The following is an 18952-nucleotide window of genomic DNA, read 5'->3' as shown; positions in this document are numbered from 1 at the left end:
AGATGGGGAGATGGGCTGGGGGGCGGACCTCAGGGTCAACTTGCTGGCAGGCGTTTCCAAGTGGGCACTCACAGACTCATAAGTGCCCTCTACCAAGGAACCTGCCTCTGGTTGCAGATTCCCAGGGCAGCATAATGGGGAGTGCAAACAGGAATCAACTCGACAGATAAAGTCGAGTCATTTTGTTAACAAGAACTCAGATTAGATTACTCTGTGATTACATGGTTCCTTGGTGTGATAAATTGGTTAATAACAGGATTCCCAGTGTAGTTGCTTAATGGGAATTCAATAATTACAGGTAGCCGAAATTGTACTGTTAGCCTAGGAGATGCTAGCGCCTTCTCTCTGTTCTAATAACCCAAAACCAATCTGGGGCTGTTGAAACGGTTACGATCTGGAGAACACACCTTCAATATTACCAAAGCACCTTGGTAGAATTACGCTTCTATACCTAACATACCGTATATTCACAGACTCGATTGACAGGCTCTTGTTTTCCTTGTTAAATGTCCAAGTTGAAGAGATCCCTAATAGATATCTTTATTACTTAGCTCTTGTTTCCATTATAAGATTAGTGATCAATAGATAATAATGGTACAATAATATTTAAATTGCATCTTACAGTTTAGGAGGCTCGTTCATGGGCATTTTTCAGTGGGGAGAGATTGTCACCACAATTCAGTAATTACGACAGCCTGGGAAGGAACTATTTTCTCCCCCTTGAAGTGAAAGAATTGAAGTTTAAGGAGCCCCCGACTCCCAAACCAGCATCAGGTGGAAGAGGCAGGGTGGAAACCCCATGTCCTTCTAGTGCACCACATCACGGAACTGAGGCCCGGATTTCATTAATGCAGCACAGCCTTAGACTGCACTTTTCACAACTGTCCTTAGAAGAGACTATGCCTCCATCATCACGTAGTCTGGATTAGCAAGACTTAAATTCATGAGATTTTATTCTACTTCCTATAAATTAGAGCATAACTCAAAGAGGCTCTTCGAAAAAAGGGAAAAGGATAACTTGTTTTGGGAGCAGGAGGTCACTAGCCATAAACTTCTCTGGCAATTTTTTTTTTTAATTTTTTGAGTAATATTAGAGTCACTGACAATGAGAAAAATGGAACAGTGGATTTAAAACATGAAATGGCCCATTAGATGGGTCCTGAACTTGTTTTAAAACTCCAGATAATATAGCTTGGCTGTTTCTGTCTTTCCAAAATGTCAAAATTTGTCTAGGATTAATGGTTCTCTAAATCAATAGGATTTCATGTTTATAAATGGTTTACGGTTCCACTGGTTATAAAATGTTATGAGCTCATGCATTATCATCAACGCTGAGCCTTTACTGAAATCTACTGACATTTAGTCTGGCATCCAGACCAGACATGGAAGGAGGACAGAGCGGAATCCTCCCAAGGCCTGGCCCAGAACGCAGAGGTCCCAAGGAGGGACAGGGTGAGTGGGAAGGGAAGCAGAACTCCTCAATGCAGAGATCATCACAGAAAAACGATGCATGGACCGGGGGTCCTATCCCAGCTGCCAAGCAGACCTGTTAGGACTCCAAGTTAGAAGATCAAATGTGGTCCTTTTCAAAGACATGGAGACGAGAGGGCTCTAGACAAGTTGACAGCAATTTTCGGAGAAATGCTGTAAGAAATAACATAGTTCAAAAATCATCTTTAACACCATCTTCTAATGCAAACATTATCACTGCTTGGCAAATGTGCTTCCACATTGGCTCTGTGCTTGCACGCCATGGCTTGAGTGATGGAATTTTACTTCTGTGTTGTCTTTACTGAACACTCCCCACGCTTCTCCCAAAGAAACTGTGGTTAGTAATGGCGGAGTACCGTTCAATGGTGTTGACTCCATGAACACACTATTTTCCCCAGCGTTGGGCACTATGGCCCTTATCAGATTTTCAGACAGATAAGCTTTTACAAGGAGAATGTCAGCCAAGGTCATTTCCTTCCAGAATTGTTTTAGGTGGGAGATCAGAGAAATAGATTTCTCTGATCTTGTGATACATTGCACAGGAACGGACCTTGCGTGCACTTGGTATAGATGTACTAAGGTGACCCCTGCCCACTCATACTTTTGGTTTTCTGTTTTACTCCATGAGGCCCATGTGAACAGACTGTGGACAAACAATGGGGTTATTCATATTTCACATTTTTCATTTCCACAAATACATACACCAACTGTGCACATTAACACAATATTAAAGATTCACCTACAGAAGCAAGTAAGTTATTTTCCAAAGGAAGTGAGCCTCCTTGAACTATTTCACGGGAGCACAGAGCTAAAACATAGTATATCGAATTGCTATTATTAAACCATAAAATTACATTACAAACACACACTGATCATGCCCAAATCTTGCTGACACTAAGAGGGATCTTCATATGGAAAAGATCAAATGCTAAAGTCTTCACTCTCTCTCTTTTCTAGTGTGGAGCTGGATTTTAAGCAGCAAGAAGACAAACTCCAGCCGGTTCTAAGAAAACTCCACCCTATTGAGGAAACTCAGGTCATACCTTCGCCTTACTCTCAGGAGACTTACTCCTCAACTCCCAAGCAAAAATCCAAAACTGAATCTAAAAAGCACGGAAGATGGAAACTCTGGTTCCTTTAACACTCACGGTGTCTGGAGTCTCGAGGCCGTCTTTAGAACCCACTGGAGTTTAAGTCAATACTTTTCCAAAATGAATAGGATCGAGGGAACTGTGGTGCCCATTCAGGCACCTCCCACTTCTCGCCCTGCGTACCAAAAAGGCCTTTGTACCAATAGATAATTAACAGAAGCAAGGTATTCTGTGTCACTCCTTGCCAGCTGTTCTTTGCAGTTCACTGATGTGGGATGTAAAATCTGAAATGAAACTTACGTAGTCAAAGATGATAAGTAAAAATTTTCCCCCACCCCCGATCTGCAAGTAATACATTATCAACCTGCGAGATGGCAGGCTGTCACCCTGTACACAGCTATAACTCATAATTATTTTCAAGCCTTGATTTTTTTTTTAAATAATGAGAAGAAAAAGCAAGCCTTATGTTTGCGAAGGACTTCATTTTTATGTTTCATTTTGCAAATAAGCAGGGGGCGAGTGCAATTTTCAGCACATCAAATTCCGGAGAAAGCACAATTTTTTCAAGTGGTCGGAGACCATGAATAATCTCTAAAATGTGACTATATGTATATTTGCCTTCATGTGCTATAGCGCTAAGCCAAGTGACCACATCTCAGTGTCACAACGACACCTCAAATTTAGCATCCTCTTCATCTCCAGACTTACGACATGTTTACTGCTCATTTTCCAAATGGCCAGCAGCCAGGAGTCCCCCAAAGTCAGGATATGCCTTTAATCACTGCAAGTAGACAGGGTCAGAGCTATTGGACACTAAGTTTTCTTAGATCTCATTTTTAATCTTTTGGTACCCAAAGGCCAAATAATACATTCTGGCAAGAATCTGAGAACATACATAGAGATACACGATGGATAATCCACCCACCAATAAATCACAGGCATTCTGTGCCATGGCAGACAGTGTTTTTGTGGATCGATCCTCCGAGACACTGTTAGCCATGGTAAGTGCAGCCAGACGTTATGTACAATTCGTTATGCTTTGTATTAATGGTGGAAGCCCTGACCATCTCAAAGAGAAACAGTGCGTTTAGTTTAGCTGCTACCAAGGGACAATGTCGCCTACATTTAACCTATTAGTAAGTTGTACTAAACAACATACTTAGGGGAAAGCTGTGAATCAAATGTTTTTAGGTATTTTTTAAATCAACAGTAACACTTAGAGTTCTCTCTTGATTACACATTGCAATGTAAATCTTAGTTCCTTTATTTTTTCACTCATTTCTTTGCACCTTTGCAAGTATCTTTTTATAGAAATCAAATCCCCTAGTCTATTAATGACTTTGTCTATCAATTTTTTGATTTTCACAATAGGAAGTAGGGATCTTACTTTGCCTTTTTTTTTTTTTTTGTACAACTTAAATTTTGAATAGTTTGTGAGCATACAGGAAAACCTAGTCTTGAAGTTTCTGTCCAGCAGTTTCACATCTAGTGGAGTGCTGACATGCACACCTCATTGACTAGATGCCAAACACACAGTGGCTAACCTTGGTAAAAGGATCTCACCTGCTTTTGTCAGATTGGAGCTGCTTCTTGCCATGTATTTTCCTCCTGACTCAACAGCAAATCTGTTTTAGTTCTAAGTGTTTTGATTCTACAAGGACCTAGTGATCAGTAACCAGATCGGGCCTTGAAAAAAAAATGAAGAGTATGTCGTGTAAACATTCTTCGGGGGCCAAACAACACTGCAGTTGTATGCTTTAATTTAAAACACACATGTGCACACACACATCCTCTGCGGAAACACTATATGAAGTTCGAATCCCTGAATATCAATAAAAGGAACTGAGAAATATTTTGGTGCAAGAACAATGAGGAAGTTGATCCTGTAACATGAAGGAAGTGTAACTGTTTCACGTAGACTAAATATTTAAAAATGGGTTTCATGTTTTTTATACTGTTTTTAACTAAAGTTATAAAAATGTTTCCAACAAGTTCTCTCTCCTTATGTTTTAAGAATCCCAACTATCTCAGTAAATTGAAATAAGGGTATTAGCAGTTTTCTAATTAGTAACACAAATCTGTCTAAACAAGAGGACATCCTAGTACACAAAATAATGTCACTGTTTCACACCAGTCTAGACCAAAAAAAAATAAAATTAAAATGTTCAGAGTCAAAAAGGAACTTCTGAAGATAAATTAATTCATCCCTAAAAATTAAAGTGTGTTCAAAATAGAAAAACTATTGTCAAAATCATTTCATAGTTTAATTGCAACACGTCACTAACAGATGGTGATTCTTCTCTTGGAAAGATTCAAGTAAAAACGCTGATACAAAAGCAAGGTAAAACGCACAGGGTTCCCTTATGTAGATGTACACATGGCATTGCATATAGAGATTAAATTATTATACTTGTCGTTAAGTTCTTTATTAATTTTTAAATAAAAAAATCAAAGATGTTTTATGTGGCTATTAAACTTATTTCATGGCCTCAAAAATTGGGGAACATAAAAGTAATCTAAGAAAATAATAATAAAGGAAGAATGTTTGGGCCGATAGGCATTTCATCCGGTCTGCAGAAGACAAGAGCATCGTAAGGCCTGGGCCTGACCCACCAGCCAGAGCTGGCCTGGCTTGGGGAGGGAAGGGACTGACGCTTGCCCACCTATGCACCCTGGCATGGAGTTTCACCACCGGAACACATGGTGGCATTTTAGGATGCACACAGGCTCATAGCAGGAGGTATATGAGGTTTAATTCTTAACCTCAGAAGAAATGGCTAAATACATTGAGTGTTGCCACAGTACACTGTGGCATGTAAATCTTGCCTCCATGGCCCAGGGGAGGTAGCTTCTCTCTAGATCTTCCATTGAGCACATCCCCAGCCTCAAGGGATCAGCCGCCTCCTTCCTTTCTTCTTCCCCTCCCTAGTGGGAGATAGGCTGAGCGCCTACCTCTCCTGCTGACACTAGCCTAATACTAACCCATCTGCACACGTGGGCTGGTGTTTGCCTCACCTGGACGGCCTAGGAGAGGAGAGGCCACAATGCTTTTTCCCAGTATCTGCAACCACAGAGTCCATGTGCAAGGGAGAGGGCACTGCAGACCGACACTCAAGGCTCCTGCTACCATCGCATGTTCTTCAGGGAGAAGAAGGGGATTCCTCTTCTGACACATGCAGAAAGGGAAGGAAGGCCCAATGCACAGCCCAGAGCAGACAGAGGGAGGGTTCTGTCTCATTCTATAATCATTTCTGAGCCAACTATTGGTGCTGCCTCAAAGGTCCTGTTCTACAGACACCCAGATACAATGAAGGGTGCCCACCAGTCACTCTACAAGTGTGCAACTCACTTCCAAGAAGCAGAAGTCCTGTAGTCCTGCATCTGCTCCTTCAATCTCTGACCCTCCAGCAGAAGATAAATGGGGAGGGGCTCAAAGTATGGGAAAACCTTGCTACCTTGGAAACAACTTAGGCAGTTGGCAGCATTTCCCATGTACCCTGAGAGGCAGTTAGTTATCTACAGCCACAGAGATCTGAGATGTGGCTGGACTACTGGGTGTAAATGGTGTCACAGTCATGGCCCAGCCTCAGGCAGACCAACTCCAACCTATAAACAGTCACAAGGAGGATGGCCTGCAACACTGTTTTCCTTGGAAACCACATGGGCATATCAGAACCAAGATACACAACTCTTAATTAAAACTGTGAAGACAGACCATCAAATACTGGCCTTTCCTAGAAGACAGCAAGAAAAGGAAACAAGAAAGAGGCATGAACTTTTCTATGTCATGGTGTTAGTAACACCATGGCCTGTTTAGAAAACCTGTCACTGGTGGACTCATTCCTTAGCATTTTTATCAGCAAGTGAAAGTTGATTTCATTATGAATCAGGGCAGTTTGGCTGCAGCAGTGTCACCTAAAGATCACAGCAGCTGCTTCCCACACCAGCACGTCTTCTTTGACCTACAGAAACTCTATCACTAGCATATTTGCAGGCACTGCATGTGCAGCCACTTTATTTACTGAAAGTAAACAACTCTGTGGTACAAAGATCAGAAAGAACATCCATTTCATGAACTGGCATAAAGTCATCATGCTACAGTGGATCCTATACATTTTGGTCAATGACAAGGTCATTTTAAGTTGCGCAAAAATTAACTTAAGGCAGTCTGGTTTTGCAAATATCTTTGCTGTTTGGTATGAATATGTAAGGATTGCAGAGCATATTGTGCCCATTCAACAATGTGGTTTTTACTTCTTCTGCAGTAAACCCATAGCTAGTAACCAACCTTGAAAAAATACCAGGGTCACAGGAATATGAAAACAAACCTAAAATTGCTGTAGCTGCCCCAAAGAAAAATGAACTTATAAAACCATTGGTGCACACACACACGTTAGGATGATTTTCTGAAAGCAGGCAGGTTTATTAGCAAACAGTACAATTATAGACATTTTTATGATGACTATACAAAACCCAGACACTGTCCATTTGAAACACAACATTTTTTTGCAGATGATTTTAAAATCATTTTTAAAACACATTCATACTTAAACTCTATTATAATGAACATCTCAAAATGAATGCTCATGCATGGGGATATAACATCTTTGTGAAAATATTTGGTTATGAGTCTTGGGTAAAAGGCACTATTCACTGGGAAACCAATTCTATTAATACCATTTTCCAAATGAAGGAGCATGTCAGGCCCTTATCAATCACCCATGCTCAGAGAAAGCACTGGGTTTTCACCAACAGCAAATTCCCCACCAAAGATGCTGTTGTCACAATGAAACACACCCTCCACCATCCCATCAATGTCCCCCTGAGACAGTGTTTAGAGTGGAAACAAAATAACTTCCATCACTTGTGTCTAGGGAGTCAGGATGCTCCAGTGGTGACAAGAGTTAAGTGGAGAATCCAGGCAAAATCTTCCCCTTCCCTATGCCCACTTCTGTCAATGTTCAAAGGGAATTTTTCCTTAAAAGAAGCCCACATTTTCATTTTCATGAATTAGTAATTTCCAATCCCCTCGTGTGTATCCAGGCCAAAGAAAAATGTTTAGAAGTCCTTCTCACTCGATTACATTTTTAAAGGACCCATTAAAAGAATGTAAATCTGATCATTTGAAAGAAGCAACAGCAGCGCGTATCACAGGAGACGGAAATGTTACTCATTTCAACAGCTCTCATCTCAGCCTGGAGTGCTTCTTACTCTAGGAAAAACACACACCCAATGGCTGGCCAGCCCACCTGCACACAACACAACAGCACCTATCCCAGCCGCGGTCACCTGCTCAGATCCGTGTGTGATGAGGAAAAATGCTGCTTAATGCTGAGGGCTTAGAAAGCTTCTCAAAAAGGAAGGCTGAAATAAATCCTGAAGTCTGACTTAATATAAAAATAAGTATTTCACTCCATGCTTCTACAGCATCAGACTACATCAGAGTAAAGATAAAATGACCTTTTTGTTCTGTGGCAAGGTTATTGCAACGCTTCTGTCTCTGGGCATGTGCTAGGTATTCACATGGTCTACAATTCTGCAACTGCCAAATAGAGTTGTTTTGGTTTTTTCTTAAGGATGTAATACTTCGGATCATAGCACATTATTATCCTAGGCACGAGACGCATTCCAATCACCCATTTCAAATATAATCAACTAAAGCAAACAATATACAACTGACTGCAAAGTCGAGTTTTTGTAAAATCCCACAGATAAAGAAAAGCCTTATATTGCATATCCCAATTTATCTAATTAAGTGTGAAGTTCCCCAGTTTTCTATTCCTTACATTAATAGGGGGAAGCTGTCAGGGCATAATCACATTCCCAGTTAATGCCTTATTCCGATGGAAAGAGGCCACATTTCTAGTACTGTTGTTGACAACATCATGGAATAAATCATTAAGTAAAGTATATTAATTTCAGAGTTCTTTTTAATCACTTTAATTTTTAAAAACTCATTTTCAGTGATTACTTAGAATTTTTAAGCTGATTCATAGTTACATAATTTCCACTATATTTAGCAAAAATGAGTAACACATAAAGGCTGAAATCTCTAAGATATAATGGAATGGAACAGCCTACCCAAAACAGACCTATGAACTATTTTCTACTCTTTTTCCACTCTAGAAGGTCTACTGATTAAGGTTTTTGTCCACCTTGTCAGGGATACTTTTTGCCTTGATCTTCCTCTAATCTAAATTCACAGAGCAACGACTTTAAAAAGTTAATGCACAAATCTACATTTGATGCAAATTGGAAGAGCAAGGGCAGGCATCCTAAACAGGGTAGCATTTCACTCACACTGCTCTGTTGACTCCAGAGAGGGGGCTCGTGGCTGGTTGGGGATTACAAGGTCCCACTAAACAACTCGAATTTTCAGTGGCAAACACCCTTCTTGAAAACATCTTGATGTTGTCATCACTCATTAAATGATTATAGCTTATTCAGAATTTTTTTGAGAGTCCTTTCAAGACAGCTGCATTTTATAAAAGAAACTCCAAGGATTTTTTTTACTTCTTTACAGATCTTAGAGATGGTGGAATTGGGAGGAGTCCGTTTAAGACCTCTCTCCTCTTCCCACTTTGAGGCTTCTGTTTGGGAAGATCAGGGCTGTGGAGGATGGTTCTGGAGGTGGGAAGTTTGTTCTACCTCTTCCATTCCCGGACAGTGCTTAGACCCCTATGCCAAATGCTTGATATCAATGTGGCTCTGGATAAGACCAAGCATGGGTCCTCGCTGTCACACCCCCTTCTTAGAACATGCAAGGCTTCTTCCTGAGGAACTCCTCAGGGTTCCTTAGAACACAGGGGTTCTTCCAAGCTGGAGCATCCCAAGCCCTTCAGGAAATGGGCACCTAGCTTGTGGTCTGGCCCTTCTAGCAAGGAGATCCTAGAGTTGGACCATGGATACGACATGATAGAAAATAGAAAGGTGCTTATTTCCCTGAACAGCTGTCTCCCTAAGCAGGACAGGGATCTAGGAGCAGCTCAGTCCTTTCGATGACTTCTGAAGTGGACCACGGCCATCAGCATCGTGTGCCTGTGTCTTATAGAAGGGACTGACAGCATACATGGGAACCAAATCCAGGCTGGAAACAAGTGCTGCCATGCTAGCTGTGGGATCTTGAACTGTTTCTTGTCTGTCTGCAGGGCACTGTGAGAATTAAATGAGAATCTTCCTGTTCATTATAGAGTGCATAGCACGTAAATGCATGCTCAGTGAAGAGGTGCCATTATTACTACCACACTTATTATCATGCCTGAGATAGGAGAAATTTCTCAAAGACATCCTGGACCACATGGTCTGAGAGGAGATATCATTCCCTGCAGGGTCTATTCTACCCTTTGATGAAGCTGTGAGCACATCTTATAATCTCTCCACATTCCCAGCTTCCCATCCAAACTTTATGAGCTTTTTCTGTGCCCTCTTCCCTCCAGTTTAACTGTTGACCAGTGGGCTACAAGTCAAGTGAACACACACCTAGCATAAAGACCCTAAATAAGGCTGGGCATGGTGGCTCATGCCTGTAATCCCAGCACTTTGGGAGGCCGAAGCGGATGGATCACCTGAGGTCAGGAATTTGAGACCAGCCTAGCCAACATGGTGAAACCCCAACTGTACTAAAAAATACAAAAATTATCTTGAGTGTGGTGATGTGCACCTGTAATCCCAGCTTCTCGGGAGTCCGAGGCACAAGAATCACTTGAACCCAGGAGACAGAGGTTGCAGTGAGTCAAGATTGCACCACTGCACTCCAGCCTGGGCGACAGAGCAAGACTCTATCTCAGGGGAAAAAAAAAAAAAAAAAAAAAAAAAAAAAAAGAAGACCCTAACTGGAGGCAGGATTGTGCCCCAACTAGAGACAGGACCACACCCCCTAACCAGAGACTGGACTGTGCCCCCCTGACCAGAGACAGGACCTCCTAATCGGAGAGAGAGGACCAAGACCCACTAACCAGAGACAGAACCATGTTTCCCTAAGCACAGGCAGAACCATGCTCCCCTAAACAGAGACAAAACAGTCTCATGAGACCACCTGCCTCCACTTCTACCCTCTCCCTCATCTGCCACCACCCCTGCATGCCATCATGTCATCCCCAGCCTCTCTAAGTCCGCCCATCCCAAGAGGGTCTTGGCAGAACCACACTTGGTTCAAGTTCAAGCCACATGCTCTTTGCTCTACATAAGGCCCTTTCCAGTTCCACTCCTGAGACTGTGCAGAGTGCACCTGCGGCACGACTCCAAGAAGACAGGAACGTCAGACGTCAGGGGTCAACGCTGGACATCAGGGGTCAACGCCAGACCTCAGGGGTCAACAGGTGGCTCGTGGAGTCACTGCAAATCCTTCTCCATGGGCTCAGTGCCCATTCCATATTAATGTGTTCCAAATGTGTTTCAAGACTATGAATAATTATCATGGAGAATAAGAAAAGGCAGGCAAATTTATGTTTATGTAATAATGGAAAAGTCTACTGTAAATAAAGCCAATTTACATGGAAACATTTTATTTCCTGATTCATACATGTTGTAATCCAAACTTAAAAGTGTTTAAGTTTAAACTTTAAGTTTAAACACTTTAAAAAGGAAAATGTGAGTTTAAGTTTAAACTTTAAGTTTAAACACTTTAAAAAGGAAAATCTGAACCTCACATGTGCTGAAGCTCTAAGACATGAACTGTTTCACTGGATGGAAACACACTAAGGCAGCATTTGTCCATCTGTGCGACCTGTCTGTGACGCACACGACACGGAGTCCTCTGTGGTGACACCAGACATAAAAACGCAAAGGACCCCAGTGCTCCGTTCTGACTATGCTGTCCAAGAAGACGCACATCACCTCCCTGTTCACACCCCAGATATGCAACAAGAACAACGGTCACGCACCAGGAAGGACCAGGGTGCCTTCTCTGATGTCAAGGGAAAACTCCAAAAGGACGTTTTCTCCTTTCAAGTCATTTTTTGGAAAGGATCCACCAAGATGACTTAAATGATAACATGTGCTAAATATTTTAAACATTATCCAGTCTATCTTTGATGGGCATTCAGGTTGGTTCCAAGTCTTTGCTATTGTAAACAGTGCTGCAATAAACATACGTGTACATGTGTCTGAATAAAGAAAATGTGGCACCTATACACCATGGAATAGTATGCAGCCATAAAAAAGAATGAGTTCATGTCCTTTGCAGGGACATGGATGAAGCTGGAAGCCATCATTCTCAGCAAACTAACACAGGACCAGAACACCAAACACCACATGTTCTCACTCATAAGTGGGAGGTGAACAATGAGAATACATGCACACAGGGAGGAGAACCACACACACCGGGGCCTGCTGGGGAGTGGGGGGCAAATGGAGGGAGAGCATTAGGACAAATACCGAATGCATGCAGGGCTTAAAACCTAGATGATGGGTTGATAGGTGCAGCAGACCACCATGGCACACGCATACCTACGTAACAAACCTGTATGTTCTGCACATGTATCCCAGAAATTAAAGAAAAAAAAAAAAAGGAAAGAAATTATAACCCCTTGAACCTCAAAAAAAAAAAAAATTAAACGAGATCTACTCATGCATTTTTTGCTGAAGGAAACAGACTTAAGGTAAGGGGGTGCAGAGGACAGCAGTGAACCCTGGGAAAAGGCACCATGATCAGAAACTTGATGGACTGTCTAAATTAGTAAAATATTCTTGAAAAAAATGAATAGGCTCCTGCCTAATTACTGTTTAAGAAAAACACCTACAATACATTAGAGTAGACAATAAAATAACTAAGGTGAAGAATCTCAATTACTTTTTAGGGTCCTTCATAAAATTTTATTAATGGCACCTTAAGTGTAAACACTATGGAGAAACTGCCAGAAGAATGACGACTCAGCAGAAAATACATGTCTTTTGCTATAAGTAAGTAATGAGAAAACAAGAGCCAAATGTTTCCATCTTTAAAGTTGGTTTGCTTACCCTTCAACTTTGACATTCATTTGGAAAATGAGGACATTTTATATACCAAGCTGTATCTCAACTGCTCACTACATTGCAGTATAATAAGCTATGTTCAAACAGCAGTTGGAGAAGGATGCTGTCAGCCCCAGTTAAATATCCAAACATATGTCACCAAGCACTTACAATGAGTTCAGAATCTCGTCCCATGGAAATGACGGTTCGGTTCACGGTCCGGAGAAGTTTCTCCATGATAATCTGGACGTGCCTCTGGGTTGGCCCCTGGGGAAGGACACACCAATGAACACCAACACCAGAGAAACATTAACATGCAAGCCCCAGTGGTTGTCATTGAATCCATTTACCCTGTAAAGAGTAAATCAATTATAACCCTTAATGAGATGAAAAATGGCCCTTGTCAAAGGCAAAAGCTCTCACAAAAAAACTCAGGGGTTTTTATTAATTATAGTCCATTAATGATAATTTGTTACATATATAATCATAGTAATTTAATTTAAGCAAACCTTAAAAATAAAAGAAAATCTGTTTAAACAATATAATGTTTATGATCCCTGATTAGCCCACCAATTAGTTTTCTAAAGATATTTGGCCATCTGTAAATGGAAGGCAGGCAGATAACAGTCCTAGATGGTTCTGCACGTCAAATGCAAATAACTTAAACAGTCACACAGGATAGAATGTTTAAACAGCATTTAGCAAACTATCTAAAATTCACACTGCTGTGGCATTCAGTAAAAATTAACTCTTTTATTAGTGTGGGATGCGATTGTTGATTCTTCTTCGTGAACTATGAATCTGCTTAAACACATGCTCTAGGCCCTTCCCAGCATCACCACCTCCTCTGTGAGCTTTGGCCATACAAGCTCTTACCCCAAGCTTTTCTCCAATAAAAACAGGGAAGAGCCTGAAGTGGGACCACTGGAGGCTGGCCTTTGGGTGAAGGCCTCCAAGACCTCTCCAAAGGCAATGCCCCTGTAAGAGGTGAGGTTTCCAGCATCACCAAGAACAGATTTAATCCGATCTTTTTCTTCCAGATCACTAATCAGGCTCTGAGAGAATGAGCCAGGGCTACAGCGGAGTGGGTGGCCAGGTATATGGGCGTGGTGACTAGGAGGGATTTTCAAGGTCATGCAGGAAACGGCCAGGGACAAGCCTTATCTACTTAGAAATCCTGGCCACTCTGTCCAGGGCTAGGGGCAAGGACAGACAAAGCCCTGCTTTCACCTTTCCAGGCACACCTGGAAGATCAATAGCATCATGTGTGTGCTCCAACAGGAATGGTATGTTGGGAGTGAAAGGCACAGGGTCAGACTTTTCCATATGTGCTGGCACAAACTTGCTTTTTATTTTTTCTTTCATTTTCTAGAGACAGGCTCTCACTATGTTGCCCAGGCTGGTCTTAAACTCCTGGGCTCAAGCGATCCTCCTGCCTTGGCTTCCCAAACCGCTGGGATTACAGGCGTGAGCTACTTCGCTGGGCTGGCACCAACTTCTGATTTTTAAAAAAGTCCCTGAAAGAAGCATACAATTTAGAAATGCAAAAGGAATAGGGTAGGCCAGGTGCAGTGGCTCACTGGGAGGCCGAGGCAGGTGGATCACGAAGTCAGGAGTTTGAGACCAGCCTGGCCAACATAGTGAAACCCCGTCTGTACTAAAAATACAAAAAAATTAGCTGGGCATGGTGGCAGGCACCTATAATCCCAGCTACTTGGGAAGCTGAGGCAGGAGAATCACTTGAACCCGGGAGGCAGAGGTTGCCATGAGCTGAGATTGTGCCACTGCACTCTAGCCTGGGCGACAGTGTAAGACTCTGTCTCAAAAGAAAAAAGAAAAAAAAAAAAAAGGAATAGGGTAGAGCTACAAAAGCAAAGCACTGACCTAGGGGAAGAGAGCCTGAGGGGAGGAAAAGAGCTGCTCTTCTCCTTACGACTCCCTCAGCATGCCTGGCTTTATTTATTTATTTATTTTTAACTTTGTGCATGTATTACTTTAATAAAAATAAGAAGAAAGAATGCAGATAATTAGCCAACTTTAAGCATCAAAGCCTTTTTGTCTGACCTTAAGGATGAAAATTTAGGTCCTGAGAGACATTTCGTCGAGAAGACACAGGAAATAAAGAACAATTTTCAATGCAAAAGGATAAATGTTGTAATAATCACCATATATACATAAATAAAAATAATTTAAGGGTGCAACTCTACCGAGACAAAAAGAGAGGCTAGACCTTAAAATCAAGACCTTTCATTTTTAACTGAATAAAGTTGTACTGCAAGGCAAATGGCAGGTTCAGGCAAATGGCAGGACGTCACGCACAGAGCCAACACTCACCACGTCCTTCCTGTACAGCACCTCCAGGATGTGGCTGAGCAGCTGACAGCAGGCCTCCAGGTCCTCCTGTCTCTCCAGATGGTACTTGAGCTGATCGGTCATCATGGGAAGCAGGATCTCTCTGCAGTCTACACAGGACACAGCATTGCCAGTCAGTGTGAAACCCACCAAGACGCAACTCGTGTTTGCTATAAGCTTGTCTGCCCTTTCAAGCAGTTTGCATTCACGTTGTGCAACACGTGGAACTGACATCTGGAGGGGGGTCAATTACTTGACTGTGAGAACACCGTGTCTGCTGTTATTGTAAATAATTCACATACAAACACACTTCCATGCATCTATGTGTGTATCCCAGGTAAACAGATAATAATTTGCAAGCATACATGATATATATAAACACACACACACTTATATCCCACTGTGTGCACATAAATGCAGACACAAACACACATGGGTTTTTTGTTTTTTGTTGTTGTTTTGTTTTTGAGACGGAGTCTTGCTCTGTCGCCCAGGCTGGAGTGCCGTGGTGTGATCTCGGCTCACTGCAAGCTCCGCCTCCCAGGTTCACGCCATTCTCCCGCCTCAGCCTCCTGAGTAGCTGGGACTACAGGTGCCTGCCACCACGCCCAGCTAATTTTTTTTTTTTATTTTTAGTAGACATGGGGTTTCACCATGTTAGCCACACACGGGTTTTTTAATGAATTTTCTCTAACTACAAATTCACTAATTTGCAACATTAAAAGAAATACTTCCTACAACACAAATTATTTGAATTGCAGCTTTTCTCATCTATGCCAAGGTGAGCCAAAGTATGATTTCCTTCTCCTAGGTAGAAGATGCCAATCTTGGAATGTGGCAATTTAAGGCACACAGAATCCTTCTCAAGACAGCTTCCTGGAGTGGGCTGAGGAGGAACAGGAAATGAAAAGCAGGTGCAGAGGCCCCACTCTGGGACGCATGGCTATAAAATGAAGGGATGCCATGGTGTAAGGATCAGAGGCAAAGCAGGTTTGGGTTTCCATTTGTTCTTTCAATAAGAGCAGAGGAAGGATGTTCAGAAAATAACAGAGCAACAGGGAAACAGATACAAATACAATGAAAGGTGAAATGCAATCCCTAATTGTCTCTTCCAGTTGGGAAATCCAGCTTAGCTGGAGCATCATCCACTCTCCAGCATGGACTATCTATTTACAACACCAGTTCTGTGTTTTGACACTAGCCCAGCCATTCTTGTTTCCTTTAAACGCAGAGCACAAGAGGAGACAGCAGTGCTCTAAAACCTTAAACAGACTTAGCCGGTTTTCAGGATTTTATATTTTAAGACTTACAACATTAAAGATACATTAAAACATGTTTTGCATTAATGTTTCTTTTATATAAGAAAACTATAAGCATGCAACATTGGAATGGTTCCTCTAAGTACACAGAGCACACTTAGAACTTTCCCAAGAACTACACTGTAATGAAGGACTGGGGAGCAGGCAGAGAGAAACAAAGACTGAGAAGAAACACAAACCCCTCTACTCCCCTGTCTCCAGCGGATCACATGTGGGCGGCTCATGGCCAAGGCCTTCCCCAATTCCATTTTTTGTTGATTCGCCAAGAAAGGAGTGAGAGCAACTCCATTTTTACAAGAAGTTTTGTCCAATTAATATAGGAAAATAAGAATGTACCTGTTAATTTCACAATGCCAGTAGTCAACACTTAGGCAGAAGAAATGTATGACGTGCTAAGAGCTGCACATCTTCTGGAAAGAGGCCAGGTCAGCCTCGAAGGCTGTGGTGTCTGGAATCCCACAGGAGGTCAGTGAGGGAGAGCACAGTGCCAAGATGGGCTGCCCGTGTAGGAGACTGCCCTAGTGTTAGAGCCACCCGAGAACAAAGCCAGTCTAAGAGAAATGAACAAGAAAATGACCTCATGGGAGTGAATCCAGCCTGGAAACGCTAACACATGGGACACACTATTTCCACAAATACCCCCAAATCTCAATGCCTTTCCTATAGAACCTCGATGTTTACAAACTACATCCAACTTTAGTGACTCTTGAGCTGCTGACCTTAACCACAACACAGCATCCGACGTAGGGTTTAACTCCAAATGCTCTAGCCCAGCTGGCTGGAATGCTTCCTCAGCACACCCTTATCTGAGCCCCGCCCTGCCAGCACTCTTCCTCGTGGTGCCCACCATAATATCTCCCAAATGAGTCCTCTTGCCCTTTGGCTGGAAACACATCACACACTGTGCCAACCTCAACATGGGGAGAGCCCTGGCCCAACCCTGTCACTTGGTCATCCCTAGCACTGCCACCATTCTGGAAAACAAGCTGAATTTCCAAGAAACCTCAGAGGCAGCAGTTAGAACCACTAAGACCTGAGCAGGTAATGACAGCCCCTGACAATGTGACTAAGGAAAAAAATGACTACATAAGCTTAGAAGCCGTCTTCTGAAGCAAGCTTAGGACGGACCCAAGAGAGGGAAAAGGTCTAACGGACCAGCCAGTACAGGCTGGAAGGAGGGTGTGTCCATAAGTGATTCCAGAAAATCAGAGGAACATAGCACTGGGCTCAGAAACAGCAGAGCTGGCCCTGTAGGCTCTGGTACCCAGATGTCCTGGCCTAAATTCATCCCTCACCGCACCATTTATCTGTCATGCTGGGTAGGCAGTTGTGATCTGTGCTATTCTCAGAGCTAATTGAGTGTGCTGGTCTCATTTGTTAGAATTACTCTGGTGAGAAGAAAGAGGTGTCTGTCTGTTCATCTTTGGCTGGAGGATGCTATCAACCATCTTTGGTTACCTGGTGGTAACGTTCACCATCCACCCCACCTGGAGGACTGCGCTACCTTCACCTGTTTGCTATCCAGCCTCTCCTGATGAGAAACAACAAAACTTTTAGAAATGTCACTGTCATTTTGTCCCAATACAGACATTTCATTCACTAAGCCCCCAAGAAGATGTAAAAAAAAAAAAAAAATTGTTATAACCATCCTGATAGACCAGAATCCAACTGCACCTCAGCCTTCATGACCCAGCCATCCATGGCCAGTCAAGATCAAGTGGGGAGGTGGGGCGATGTCTACTTTAACTGTCGAGACAAAATGAGATGCTGCTTGAGGAAGGACTGTGTAAAAAGCCATCCAACATGCCTCAGTGAGAGGTCTCCCCCGGCACCATCAGCATCAGGAAACTCCACCCCGACCCCAAAACAGAACCAGGTCACTGAGGAGGACCAGGCTGGCAACGAGGCTCTTTCCCTAAAGGCCAAAGGTCAGTCTGCCCATGCCAGGGATTTCAACCATGCCTCCAGGCAGAGGGTCACACAGGCTATGGCACCTTACAGTACCGTCCGTCACCTGGTCCACAGCAACCCATCCCAGGCCCCCAAAGAAAGGCAATTCCCCAGAGCCACTAGGAGAGGGTGGGAGGACCGAAGCTGAAGGCAGCAAAGCCAAGGAGTGCACCTCCCTGGTGACCTGTGATCTGCTGGCCTCAGCACAGCCCCCACTGGACCCAGGTACAGGAAGGCCTCCAATGCCCCGTTATCGGAACACTGAAATACTGATTGCTTTAATTATCTGTTCCTCCTTGCTGATATGCAATCTCCATAAGAGCAGAAGCCTTCCTATTTTTCTTAAATGGCATATCCAAGCACATAAACCAAGGCCTGATGATAGTGGTGGTATGAGTGTGTGTGTCTTGGATTAACTTGCAATTACGCACATGTGGTATCAAACTAAAGTCTGCAGTTAAAAGCAGGTCTGCCACTCTCAACCCTCAAGAAATGGTAGCTGTTAATAACAATAATACAAATATCAGTATACAAAGTCAGCCTTTTCAACTAAAAATATACAAAGAAAACTAAAGCCTTACAGCTGCACTATCCAGTACAGTAGCCACTCAGCTGCCTTCCCCAAAAGCAAAAACATAAATTTCTTAAAACCTCATTTTTTAAGGGACTTCTCTTACTCTATATTTCTGTCTACAGATAGGTTTTTTCAAGAAGTGGTGGGAGTACACGTTTTAAGTAACAGTAAGACTCTTGAATTTTGTCTTAAGATAGCAAATCAAGAGCACTGAGGAACGTATA

General features: G+C 42.7%; 2 protein-coding genes across 35 annotated transcripts in view, besides 1 other annotated feature; one reads left to right on the top strand and one right to left on the bottom strand.

Moving 5' to 3' along the window:
- The window catches only part of INSYN2A (inhibitory synaptic factor 2A), a 61162-nt gene extending 56123 nt beyond the window's left edge, over nt 1-5039 (top strand). For all 11 annotated transcript variants that reach the window (XM_005252694.5, XM_017016539.3, NM_001039762.3 and 8 more), the window contains one exon: nt 2449-5039. In XM_005252694.5, coding sequence (XP_005252751.1) covers nt 2449-2632 — 184 coding nt within the window. In that variant the 3' untranslated portion in view covers nt 2633-5039. The remainder of the gene's footprint in view (nt 1-2448) is intronic.
- DOCK1 (dedicator of cytokinesis 1) overlaps nt 1-18952 on the bottom strand; it is a 547089-nt gene that overhangs the window by 312048 nt on the left and 216089 nt on the right. For 21 of the 24 annotated variants that reach the window (XR_007061946.1, NM_001377544.1, NM_001290223.2 and 18 more), the window contains 2 exons: nt 14868-14995; nt 12705-12800 (listed from right to left, as the gene is read on the bottom strand). Coding sequence is in view for 23 of the 24 variants with exons in the window: in NM_001377544.1 (NP_001364473.1) it covers nt 12705-12800; nt 14868-14995 (224 nt within the window). In the remaining variant the exon portion in view is untranslated. Of the gene's footprint in view, nt 1-6981; nt 10983-12704; nt 12801-14867; nt 14996-18952 lie in introns of those variants that run through there. The other 3 variants (XM_047424703.1, XM_017015817.1, XM_047424702.1) reach the window with 1 other exon arrangement.
- Nucleotides 1310-2509: an enhancer, noted in NCBI's record as "BRD4-independent group 4 enhancer chr10:128936224-128937423 (GRCh37/hg19 assembly coordinates)". NCBI's record gives its function as "activates an origin of replication core promoter dependent on BRD2, P300/CBP, MED14 and CDK7 cofactors, and independent of BRD4, by STARR-seq in HCT116 cells {active_cell/tissue: HCT116}" and the evidence as "EXISTENCE:reporter gene assay evidence [ECO:0000049][PMID:35650434]".

Source organism: Homo sapiens, chromosome 10 (genome assembly GCF_000001405.40).
Source record: "Homo sapiens chromosome 10, GRCh38.p14 Primary Assembly".
Taxonomy (NCBI): domain Eukaryota; kingdom Metazoa; phylum Chordata; class Mammalia; order Primates; family Hominidae; genus Homo; species Homo sapiens.
Note: the sequence above shows the minus strand (reverse complement) of the source record. Positions and strands in the feature narration are given on the sequence as shown.